At 38.3% G+C, this 13,189-nt stretch overlaps 1 long non-coding RNA gene across 12 annotated transcripts in view; it reads left to right on the top strand.

The window, feature by feature from the left end:
- The first annotated feature begins 3,636 nt into the window (after nucleotides 1-3,636).
- LOC105379100 (uncharacterized) overlaps nucleotides 3,637-13,189 on the top strand; it is a 45,227-nt gene continuing 35,674 nt past the window's right edge. For 2 of the 12 annotated variants that reach the window (XR_007058888.1, XR_948625.3), the window contains exons 1-2: nucleotides 6,537-6,923; nucleotides 12,395-12,513. This is a non-coding gene — a long non-coding RNA (uncharacterized LOC105379100). Of the gene's footprint in view, nucleotides 4,375-6,523; nucleotides 6,924-12,394; nucleotides 12,514-13,189 lie in introns of those variants that run through there. The other 10 variants (XR_007058885.1, XR_948622.3, XR_007058884.1 and 7 more) reach the window with 9 other exon arrangements.

Below are 13,189 nucleotides of genomic sequence, written 5' to 3' on the forward strand. Positions count from 1 at the left end.
AGATCATCCTGGCCAACATGGTAAAACCCCGTCTCTACTAAAAATACAAAAAATTAGCCGGGCGCAGCGGTGGGCGCCTTAGTCCCAACTACTGAGGAGGCTGACACAGGAGAATGGCGTGAACCCAGGAGGCGGAGCTTGTAGAGAGCCGAGATTGTGCCACTGCACTCCAGCCTGGGTGACAGACAGAGCGAGACTCTGTCTCAAAAAAAAAAAAAAAAAATTCATATGATAAAGCCCTAACCCCCAAGGTGAGGATATTGGGAGGCGTGGCCTTTAGGAGAGAATTAGGTTTAGATGAGGTCATGAGAATAGAGCCCCTATAGTGGCATTACTTCCTTTATAAGAAGAGACACTAGAGCTGCTTTTCTCCCTACCATGTGAGGATACTGAGAGAAGATGGCCATTTCCAATCTAGGAAGCAGGCCCTCTTTAAGAAACGTAATTTGCCAACACTTTGATCTTGCACTTCCAGCCTCCAGAACTGTGAGAAATATCTCTTCTTTTTTTTTTTTTTTTTTTTTTTTTTGAGACAGAGTCTCATTCTGTCATCCAGGCTGGAGTACAGTGGTGCGATCATGGCTCACTGCAACCTCCACCTCCCAGGTTCAAGCAATTCTCCCACCTCAGCCTCCCAAGTAGCTCAGACTACAGGCGTGCACCACCATGCCCAGCTAATTTTTGTAGAGACAAGGTTTTGCCATGCTGCCCAGGCTAGTCTCAAACTCCTGAGCTCAAGTTATCCACCTGCCTCGGCCTCCCAAAGTGTTAGGAATACAGGCATAAGCCACCATGCCTGGTCAAAATATCTACTGATTAAGCTACCTAATTTATGGTATTCTGTTTTAGCAGCTGAAGCAGACTAAGATACCATCCTATAAGCTACAGACCAGCACTATCCAATAGAACTTTATATGACGAGGAAATGTTTTATATCTGTGCTATCCATTATGTTAGCCACTAGCCACAGGTATCCATCAAGTATTTGAAATATGGCTAGTGCAACTAAAGAACTTAATTTTTATTTTTTTTAATTTTTTTTTATTTTTTTTTTGAGAAGGAGTCTCGCTCTGTCCCCCAGGCTGGAGTGCAGTGGCGCCATCTCGGCTCACTGCAAACTCTGCCTCCCAGGTTCAAGCCATTCTCCTGCCTCAGCCTCCTGAGTAGCTGGGACTGCAGGTGCCCGCCACCACGCCCAGCTAATTTTTGGTATTTTTAATAGAGATGGGGTTTCACCGTCTTATTAAGGATGGTCTCGACCTCCTGACCTCATGATCTGCCCGCCTCGGCCTCCCAAAGTGCTGGGATTACAGGCGTGAGCCACCGCGCCCGGCCAATTTTTATTTCATCTTATTTAAATAACCCCATGTGGCCAGTGGCTACTGTATTGAACACTACAGCTGTAGACAATATGAAATAAATATAAAGCAGTCTCCACTTTGGAAAAACAGAAGACTCTTACTGCCTCATAATATAGATGAAAAATGAAATACTAAGATAAGTAAAATGTTCTTTAAAGAACAAAAACAAAAGAAAACCTAATGAAAGCTATAAAAGTCCATTGGATAATAATGCTACCAGTACTAAGGAAGTACAGCCCCTAAAAGTGACTTGCAGTCACAAATATAAAAACGACTATTCAAGTGAACTCCTAAGGTAAAAATTTGTTATTCACCATGCTCCAAAATGGTCTGTAACATTCTTCAGAGATGGCATGGTAAAGTACGATACAAGGGTAATATTAACAGTATGCTGTCACAGGTGCCATTCTCTTAAAAAAGAAATCCCAAAATAAATATAAATGGAAAGCAAATAATTAAACACACTAAATACAGATTATTACAAAAATCCATAAGGAATTCTGGTGCAGAAAGAACTTCATAATCAAAATCCCAAATATAAAATTTATCTATCAAAAGTGAAAATGCTGACATACAGTTTCTTGCAAAAAAAAAAAGTTTAGAAATTTTTTTAACATAAATAAATAAGAACATCTTTTTAAACAAAATCTTAGGCTGTTGAGTCCCGTTTATTTTCTACACCTCTAATTCCAAAGCTGAGAAACAAACGGATACTTCAGAAAAAAAAAAAAAATAACTCATGACAATTTGTCTTTTGGACACAGAATATAAAGGAAAAATAAAATTTATGTCTAACTGGCCAGACCTCAATTGAATTTTTCATCCTAGCTGGTTCCTAAATCCAAATCAGATACTTATCAATAAAACTGTTTTTCTGCACAGCTACTACTAGCTAGAAACTGCTTCTCCAAATTTATACTGACCATTTCTTCTAAAATGTTGAAATTCTAGCTCATAGTTTTTAAAAAACCATTCTTAATGTACTGATTCCAGAGTACTAATTCCAATGGCCAAGAAAATTCAAAAAGATTTGGAGTGGTCTCTGAGATTAGAATGTGTGACAATGTGAAGCATTTCACTACAACGTCCAAGATTAAAGTGTCAAAGCAGATGAGGAAATGAAGCTCCCAAAACAGATGCCCATGAGAAAGGAGCCCAGAAAAGCAAAAGGGGCCACAGCCCAGGACCTTACAATAAAGAAAAGTGGCTCTGGCCCCATGGTAGCCTTCCTGAAACACTGGGAAAGAATGAAGTCCTTAGCAAAATTCTGACCAGGATCGCAAATTTAAATGTAAGCTTGTAAGGAAAACACCTATGGACTTGGGTTTAAATTTGTCCATCTAAGATATAAAATTACAAGTTTGACCAAATGTGCCAGTTGTCCACTTATTTTCTCTCAGCTCTGAATTCATCCTTTCCTGTCTGCTCTGCAGAAATGAACTTGGACCCTTTAAACATTTTTCCTTTGCTAGTTGGCATGATGTTAGATCGACATTGTAAGAGGAGATTTTCCTCTTCTTTCCAAGAGTCTTGTGTGCTCCTCTTGGCAGGCTTCTGTACTGCAACACAGCTTCTCCAGTGTCCAGATCCAGAACCCGTGCAGTTTGCTCCATTGTCAGGCTCCTGAAGTGCACAGCAGTCAGCAGCACCCAGTATCTTCCACCAGTACCTCCACAAGGCAGTATTATAGCAGAGTGATTCGGATGAGACAGATTTCTACCACAGCAACTTCTCTTCATTCAGTGAGCCACAGCCATGCCCCCTCAAACAGGGTCTGGATCTTAATCCCAGAGGCCCTGGATGTTCTATCTTAACCCCAGGGGTTGATGCTCCTTTTATCTGTTATTCTTATATTCCTTAGAGTTCTCTTTACTTTTTACTAGCCAATCCTCATTGCTCCAAAACCCTGTTATAGCTAGCAGTTCTTCGTATTAATCTTTCCTTGTTCAAATTACATGTGATTTCTCTATTCTAATCAAACACTGACTGATAGATCAAATTTCAGGCAATTAATCAAATTGAGAAAATTATAGGGCATTATGTCTAATTTGTTATTTTATATATTAGCAAACACATAAGATCTGATAATCAGAAAGTTCAGAGCGCTAAACCAAAGTCTCTAAAGAATGGAAGGAATCAGTTCACAGGATATATGCTTGTTAATGCTACTCCCATTTGGGGGAAGTATAATTTTCTCCAGTAACCATGAAAAATAAGAGATCACTTTGTTTCTTCTGATGATTTATTTTTATTTTAAAAGGGAAATGAAAATCTGAAAAATATAAAAGTTTAAGAAGACAAAGTAGAAACAGTCAATGGCTCCATTTCTCTGGCAAACTAATCAACCAAACTGTTCTATCTACATTTGACGGGAAACCCAAAATTTCAGTGATCCCACACTAATGTTCACATTGTTTTTCTGCTATATAGGAACACTTTTAACATGTTCCCTCTGTCTCACTGTTTGTCATGTACTCTCTGTAGACTACTTTGCCAACATTAAAATGAAATGTTCAGCATCAAGCTCATCATTCCTGTCTCACTTCACTCCGAAATCTGCTAGCCACAGAGTTAAAAGGACAGGATTAAGAGTCATTAGACACAGTATTAAGGAGAATTAAAGGGCCTGTTCAAGAGGCATAACATCTGCTCCTCAAATTCCTGCCTAAACAACGAAGATTCCGATCAAAGAGAAGAGAGGGAAAGCCAATCTAACCAGTAAACCGGAGTCATGAGGAAGTGAATGCTCTCTCAGGGAGTAACTCTGACACCAGAGGAAGGCTTAGTGACATTGCACAATTGTTTCTGTGAAGTCATTCATGGGGCAAGTGGGAGTATATGAGTAGAAGTGGAAGGGAGTGGGAAGGTGAAGATTGAGGATCCTTTTAAGTAGTTTTTGCTCAGCTAGCAAAACAAGCTGGGACATGCAAGACAGATAAACACAGCTGTTTGGGGCTGTCACTTGGGGCTCAGGAGCCAAGGTGTCCTGCTGTAGTGAAAAGTGCACCGGAATGTGAGTCAGGAGTTCAGGGATCCAAGTCCTCATTCTGCTGCTAACTAGCTGCGTGATGATGAGCAAGTCCACTGGCTTCACTAGACTCAGTCTCTTTTTTTTTTTTTCGATACAGAGTCTCGCTCTGTCACCCAGGCTGGAGTGCAGTGGCACGATCTCAGCTCATTGCAACCACCACCTCCTGGGTTCAAGCAATTCTCCTGCTTCAGCCTCCTAAGTAGCTGGGATTACAGGCGCGCGCCACCACGCTGGGCTAATTTTTGTATTTTTAGTAGAGACGGAGTTTTGCCATGTTGGTCAGGCTGGTCTCAAACTCCTGACCTCGTGTTCTGCCCACCTTCGCCTCCCAAAGTGCTGGGATTACAGGCATGAGCCACCACGCCCGGCCTCAGTCTCCTTATTTCATGGAAAATGAGGAGACAAGACTAGATGGCAGCACTATACAGAGATGCTCCTGAACCCACGGAGTTCATGTACTAGTTAATATAACTTTGCTGAGTCCTGGTTTCCTCCACTGAAAAAAACATGAGAAATAATACTTTTTATAAAATTGGGTGAGGATTAAAAATAATATACATAAAGACACCTAGTACAGTAACTGAAACAAGTAATTATTATTATTACTACTTTATTTCCAATGCTAAGATTATTTGAGGGGTATAAAATCTTGGTAGCCAAGTGCAATGTTATTTCAAATACACTACAAGTTAGTATGTGTTTAGTACATGTCTTAATTATTGCTAACCAAAATACTCAAGACTTACAAATTAAGGACTTGGGCCGGGCGCGGTGGCTCACGCCTGTAATCCTAACACTTTGGGAGGCCGAGGCGGGCGGATCACGAGGTCAGGCGATCGAGACCATTCTGGCTAACACGGTGAAACCCCGTCTCTACTGAAAATACAAAAAATTAGCCAGGCATCATGGCAGGTGCCTGTAGTCCCAGCTACTCAGGAGGCTGAGCCAGGAGAATGGCATGAATCTGGGAGGCGGAGCTTGCAGTGAGCCAAGATTACACCACCGCACTACAGCCTGGGTGAATGAACGAGACTCCATCTCAAAAAATTAATTAATTAATTAAGGACTTGTAAATGTCACCCAAAAATGTAAAAATATATTTTGTCAATATAAGGTTGATTCTGCAGAGGGTGCAAAAAAAGAATAGAAATAAGGAATCCTTAAGAATTTGGAAATAGGAAATATAGAAGGCGTCTAAGGAAAAAGAGCTGAGGACTTCATCAGACTTCCCTACTCCAAATGCCAAAAGAAATAACCTAGAAAAATATAAAATCAGGATAAATGAAAGTACTACTGAAAACTGGAAATTATCCAGAAATTTCTAGTAGGAAAAGATCAGAATGATTAGGAAAGCACCTCCCAGAAAGAGTGCAACAGCCTCATATGAAACTACCCAGAAACCATGAAGTCCATGGGCGGTTCGTTCTCAAAGCAGCAAGGATGCCCTTATGGAAGCAGTTGTCACAAAAATTAGGCAGCAGGCACAAAAAACAATGTGGAAGAGATAATATAGGGTTAATAAAACAAAGACATATAGTCAAAAACCTACTATCTTTCCTAAAACTACAGCATACGGGCCGGGAGCAGTGGCTCACGCCTGTAATCCCAGCACTTTGGGAGGCTGAGGCGGGCAGATCATGAGGTCAGAAGATCAAGACCATCCTGGCTAACACCGTGAAACCCCGTCTCTACTAAAAATACAAAAAATTAGCCAGGTGTGGTGGCGGGCACCTGTAATCCCAGCTCCTCGGGTGGCTGAGGCAGGAGAATGGCGTGAACCCAGGAGGCAGAGCTTGCAGTGAGCAGACATGGCGCCACTGCACCCCAGCCTGGGCAACAGAGTGAGACTCTGTCTCACTCTGTTGCACAGTTTACAACAACAAAACTATAGCATCCATCACATAGAGGAGAGACTCCCCAACACACATATAAGGATTACTCTCAGCCCCAGCTCCCTCAAACTTCCTAAGATCAGCACTGGTATCTGATGGTGGCTCCTTGTAAATCAAACTTAATGGAGTATGTGTTATTTGGTTTATGTTTATGTGCAGCCTGCATAACAACCACTCTGTCAACATCATGCATATGTTCATTGTGTTGGTACTAGAAGACTCTATGACACACACAAGCTGATGTCATCTGATGGGTCTATTTTATCTACTTGGCTGTGCAAATCCTCTTCTGTAGTATATGCTTTCTGGTGGACACTAATATGGAACACAAAGATCTTCTCACATTGCAGCTGCTCCCATATATCCATTGATATATGCCTCTAACTCCAGACCTTTTTGTCCTTAATCTTCTAATCCGGTTATCTCTTTTCCTTTAGTGCAATTTTTCCTTATTTGTTTGTTTTGTTTTTTTTTTTAAGTAAATAGCTAGGCTTCTAAGCCCTACCACAGAGAGTCAACAGACAAACTGCCCAGGGAAAAGTTATGACCTCAGGCAAAGTGAATTTCTACAGCTAAGGCAGATCCTGAAGAAGCTCACAAATAAAGGCTGCATACTCACACATTCCCTGAAGCTTGACAGTAAGTTATTCTTTGAAGGGACATGCAAAATGTGTCTCTATATCTACAAAAAATATATAATGTGATGACTGTTTCCCTAGAGGGAAACAAGGCATTTGTAGAGATTTTAAAAAGAGGCCCCCATAGATATCCCATGATCAAAATACTTAGTGGGAATCACACATTATCCAGATGCAATAATTAATAGATTTTTATTTTCTATCTTCATGAAAAAATTCAAAATTTTCCTCCTTTCTCTATCCATTCCAAGTTCACGAAGGAGGGATTCTAGTTATTTGGCTGTGTATAGAGCAAAGAATAGTCAAAAACTTCACAGGAAAAAAAAAAAGGGCTGAGCAGATATTGAGAGTCAAACGAAAGAACAGAAGCTAAGTAACTGTCTGGGATGTAGAAGGGATATCGTAAGATATCAAGGCAGTGGTGAAAGTGTACATGTGAAGGCCTAAGAATGAGAATGTGATGATTAGGACAGCAGCCTGCTTATGATACAAAGACAGACTGCTTATTAGGAGCAGCATATGAGAGGCAGGAAATGGATGGAGATAAGGTTGGAAAAATATTAGGGAACATATTCAAAACTTGTAAACCACGCTGTGGAATGTGAAATTTATGCCAGGGGTGCGAGGACATGGAAATATTAAAGTAGAGTAGTGGTGATATGCTCATATTGTACTTGCACTACGGAAATATCATTGGAACAGCTGTTTGAAAATAGAGTCAAAGGCCGGGCGTGGTGGCTCACGACTGTAATCCCAGCACTTTGGGAGGCTGAGGCGGGCGGATCACGAGGTCAGGAGATGGGAGACCATCCTGGCTAACACGGTGAAACCCCATCTCTACTAAAAATACAAAAAAAAAATTAGCCGGGCGTGGCGGTGTGTGCCTGTAGTCCCAGCTGCTGCGGAGGCTGAGGCAGGAGAATGGCGTGAACCCGGGAGGCGGAGCTTGCAGTGAGCCAAGATGGCACTCCAGTGCACTCCAGCCTGGGTGACAGAGCAAGACTCCGTCTCAAAAAAAACAAAAAAAACAAAACAAAACAAAAAAGCAGAAAATAGAGTCAAAGAGCTCCTCTGCTGTCTTCAAATATCGACAATTTCACAGGATCCTTCTCCCATAATAAGATCTCCTGTATTTCTGAAAGATAAGTCACTGACATTTCTGAAATGTCCAGTTACCTATGCTTCCAAAACTGCTATAATAGAAAATGACATTAAAAATTTTTTGATGAAGCCAGCATGCAAAGAAAAATTACTATTACAGCCAAGAAGGTTTTATACTGGAGTCATTCCATCCGTGTCCAAAATCAGATTTGATGGCCAAGACCAATTAAAATTTACGATGATATCAATTACATATGCAGATTCTGATTCTGTCTATATAGCAGTAAGTGGGCAGGAACAAAAGTGGGTCAAATTCCAAAACTCTGGACAAATATAATGGAGTATTTTACAAATAATGATACAAAATTGACCAAAAGTCATGACCAAACTAAAGATTGTAATAATACTTTGGCAGATTAAAATTTTTAACAAGATAAAGTTTTAACATATAATAATCACACTACAAAGCATAAAAAAAGCTTGTGTCTACTTTCATTATGAATATTGTTGTTCCCAAAGTATAGACCTTCTATTTTATGTTAGGATAAGCTATAACACATGGATTTCTTTTATACTGGGAGCCATTATTCCATCACCCCAAAACTCCCATCAGATTATCTTAGAAAGAAATTTAAAGACTTCAACAAAGACCACACTGTAGTTCAGAAGGGAAGGCCTAGTGTTTATAAGAATAGATAGAAAAGAACATTGGGAAAGGAGACAGGTCATGGGATGTAGAATTAAAAAACAAAAGGGTTACAGAGAAATTGGTTAAAGGCATACAAATAAAATTGTATAGATGGAATAAAGGGAAATTACGGTTAGTAATAACTTATTGTATATTTTTAAATAGCTGGAAGAAAATAATTATAATGGTCCCAATAGAAAGAAAAGATCGATATTTGAGGTGACTGATATCCTACTTACCTTGATTTTATCATTACACATTGTATATAGGTATCAAAATATCACATATCCCCCCAAAATGTGTACAGCTATGTCAATAAAAATCTAAAAAAAGGCAATAAGCATGGAGAATATATGAAGTAAAATAAATATTTGAATATACAGATTTCCATCAGGTGCAAGCAAAAGCAATAATCTCTGTTTGCATAATTATTGCAATGGAGAGAGTTGTTTGTATTTATTTAATAAGAAGTATGATGTCTTCAGAATATTTATAAAAGAATAGCAGAGATTAGAAAACATTCAATGTAGGAACATCCATATGGGGAAAATGAAAAATTCATCCTGCCATACATGGCGATCTATATGGAAAAATACAACTAGTAAATGTTCATGTATCTGAGACTGTTTTGTATCTATATGGAAAAATACAACTAGTAAATGTTCATGTATCTGAGACTGTTTTGAGGTATGGTCTCATTTTCTATTCCACGATGTATTAACTTTTCCCATCCAATTAGAAATTTTCCTCTTCAGTCAATATTTAATTTTCATTGTCTCATATTTTCCAAAGTATAGGGGTTTCCTGTCCCCTCTTCATGTAGAATTGAAGGTCTGCGATTATTTCCAGCTAAGGAAGCAAAATGCATAAATCTGGAGAGTCTCTGATCAGTAGCAGGAGCACACATTCCACTAAGGACCAAAGAGCACATTCTTTCAACTGTTTTGTCATTCCTGTCTTATTTATGTGAGTTAAGGAATAAAAAATCAAATTATCAGATCATCTCTGTAATTTTCCAAAGAGCTAAAAATAAGACCATCAGAAAATTATTTCCCTTTACTGGCTGATTTCTAGCTCTCTGTTTCATATAACTTGTGTGTGAAAAGCACTTTTGTAACTCTGACCAGTTTTCATTACATCATTGTCTCTCAGATTGCCTCTTTAAGGGATTCTATAGCTTAAGCTGTTTTAAAAAATAGATTTAAGTAAGGGTTAAGGCACCTTTTAGTGTGACAGAAATTCACACCATGTTTGGCATGGTACAGATTTATATAGATTCACTCTCTTAGTCATTCCATTTCCTCCAGTATGGATCCTCGATATGAACAACTAAAGAGTACAACAGCTAATCTTAGTGAATAACCAAGCTAGACTGTCCAAACAACCTGTGGTCATTAATCATTTCTGTGAAATGGAATGCTTTTATTTAACATGCCCAGGTTCTAATTTATATTTCATGAATTAATTTATGTTGAATATGTTTATATTTCAAATTTTATTTATATTTAAGTACAGTACCATGCCAAGAAAACTGAAATTCAGTATGCGTGTGTGTGTGTATATATATGTATATGTTTATGCATATTTCCACAATTTCCTACATGAAGTCAAATTCTTGTAACAATGTTGACTCATAGATGTTTTTCTTTCATTCTATAAAAATTATGAAAAATTTTATGCAGCACAGTCCAATAGATTTGTTGCAATGATGGCTGCGCTTTATATCTATGCCTTCCAAAGTGGCAGCCACTAGCCACACATGGCTATTGTGCACCAGAGATGTGGCTGGTGCAACTGAGGAAATTAATTTTAATTTAATGTAAGTTTAAATAATACTCTGCATTTAAATTTAAGTAACATCTTTGTGTATCTAATGGCTACCACATTAAACAGAACAGATCTATGGCAGTTAGAAACAGTTACTGTGTTCTCATTTTCACAATAATGGGAGAAAACAATTAAGTAGAATTCTTAAGCACAATTCAAAAGTCATAATATTAGATGTAATGTGACTAAAGGAACATTGAAGATGCTCTAACTCACCTTAGAAGAAATGGAGAAACATAAAGGAAAGTTTCTAAAGGAAAGAAAAACAAGTTGTCTTGAAGTAGGACTAGGAGTTAGAGCCAAGTTGATTCTTTGTTCACTTGCAGAAAAAAAAAAAACAATAACCAATTAAAATCATCTTGACCATGCCTACTTTCAAAAATAGATTGTTCTGTTTACTGTGATTGGTGCTTGTGGGATTTCTTCCAGTGTTAACTTAAGCATTAAAAAAGGAATCATCAGAAAAATCCCATAAACTTAAGAGTATCCTCCAAAATACCAAATCAGGTCTCCATTGGATCCCAGAAAAAACTTGTAAATATTTTAGAGCTTGGTAATCCATATTTTCCATATGCCATTTAATATCTCACTCTAAGCAATATGTAATTATCTATTTTTTTATTTCCAGAGGAAGAAAATCATTAATTTATTTATTTTTCCTACCTATGTACTTTTAAACCTAACTCACCATTCATAGTAGCACTAGGAGGCAGTATTAGGGAGCTAATACTAAGTCCTGCTTATGACAATAAATTTAAATTCCCTTACTTTCCTGTTCCCCTTGTTCTCACTTCCTGTTGTGTTTCAGTTGAACTTAACCTCCAAATTGTATTGTTTTGCTCAATTTGTGGTCCTCTTGTCATCCTCCACCAATGGACTTTTACATTGGATGCCTCTAACTTCAGCTGCAGTTCAGTACTGAGCTCTTAATCACTCTCTTGCTCCTCCTGCTCCTGACTACTTTGGGCCACTGTAATTCTTCTCTCGTTGCACTCTAAAAGTAAGACTTCTGTGCCCATTGACTTGACTGATACTCCAAATGGACTTATCATAGTTAAGTAATTTTATAACTTCTATAGATATCTTGTACTCAAAGATACCATTTAGAGCATTATCTACATTTCTGATTTCTTTAAAGAATTTGATTTTAAATTAGAAGTATACAAAGGGCAGTAAGGGATACTGTCTAAGCATTCATCTTTCTGGTCTTTGGATATACCAGATGTGAGAATTAAAGAAAATCACAAATTCATTGATACTCTTCCCATCAAGTGGGTGGGCTCTGTGACAGCTCTAATGAAATGTATTGGAGGGTTTCTTTCTTTTGTGTGTGTGTGTGTCTGTGTGTGTGTGTGTGCGTGTGTATGCATCTGTTTCTGCCTCCAGACCTTTAGAGACTGGCAGCTTCCACTTCATGTTTATTGGAACACTCACTCTTGGAAATCAGCCATCATGCTGTTAGAAAGCCAAAGCTGCCTCATGGAGAGGACTAGCCTGGCTGAGCAGCCAACATCGACTTTGTTTTCCATGAGAGGAGCCTCCTCAACACCTAAACCTGATTTACATTATGAATCCTGATCTTGAAACTAATTCTATATTGAACTGAAATTTCTGGGGTCTTGAAATGGGGTGAGTGTATTTTTCATGTGAGAATATTGTAAAGAGTTTTTGGCCAGAGGTTTACTGTGACAGGTCAAAAATGATCATATATTCCTTACATTTCTCTCACTGAAAGTTGGAGTCCATACCCACTTTCCTTGAATCTGTGGACTCTATAGCTACTTGCGTATAGTATAAGTGACAGATTACGAGACTGAAAACTTTCAATTCCTCTCTCTTGAAATACTCACTCTTAGGTGCCAGCCACCATACTGTGAGGGAGCTGAAGTAAGCCCACATGAGGAAGAATTGAGGTCCCAAGCCAACAGCTGCAGCTAAGATCCAAGCTCTCAACCAGTACCAGTTCATCCGTTATGTGAGTAGCTGCTCCAGCCATGGTTGAGTCACCACAACTGATAGCACATACAGCAAAGACTTGCACACCATAGAGTCCATCCTAGATTCTTCATCCACAAAGTCAGGAGCAATATAAAATTTCTATTTCAAGCCAATATGTTTTGGCATTATTAACCAGAAATAGATAATTCAAATCCTAGAGTATTTTCACAGTAGAATGTTTCTGCTCTACGTGGAATTATCGTCACACAAATCTTTTCAGAGCTAGTTTCGTTCAGTACTTAGTACTCACTTAAATGAAATATCATAAGAACGTATACTCAGTCTTAGGTATCTTTATACTCTCAAGTCAATCACATTATCTTTTTTGTATTTGTTTTGTTAAGTGTTTATCTGTAAATACCTACTCCTGCCATAATTAGAACACAAGTTCCATAAATTAAAGGAATTTGTTTGACTTGTTATTTGCTATATCACTTTCACTTAAAGTAATACCTCAATATACATGCACTTATTGTATATTTATTGAATAAATAAATTACTAATTCTGTTCTACTAACTTTACTATAAAAGAGGATCTGATTATGTGGTAATAGAGACAGAGAATATTAGAAGCTTATCGGTCCATCTTCTGTATTACCAAATCCTTTCTCATTATTTCTCAAATATTGAGTTATCAATTAAGAAACTGGATT

This window comes from Homo sapiens, chromosome 5 (genome assembly GCF_000001405.40).
Source record: "Homo sapiens chromosome 5, GRCh38.p14 Primary Assembly".
Classification (NCBI taxonomy): Eukaryota; Metazoa; Chordata; class Mammalia; order Primates; family Hominidae; genus Homo; species Homo sapiens.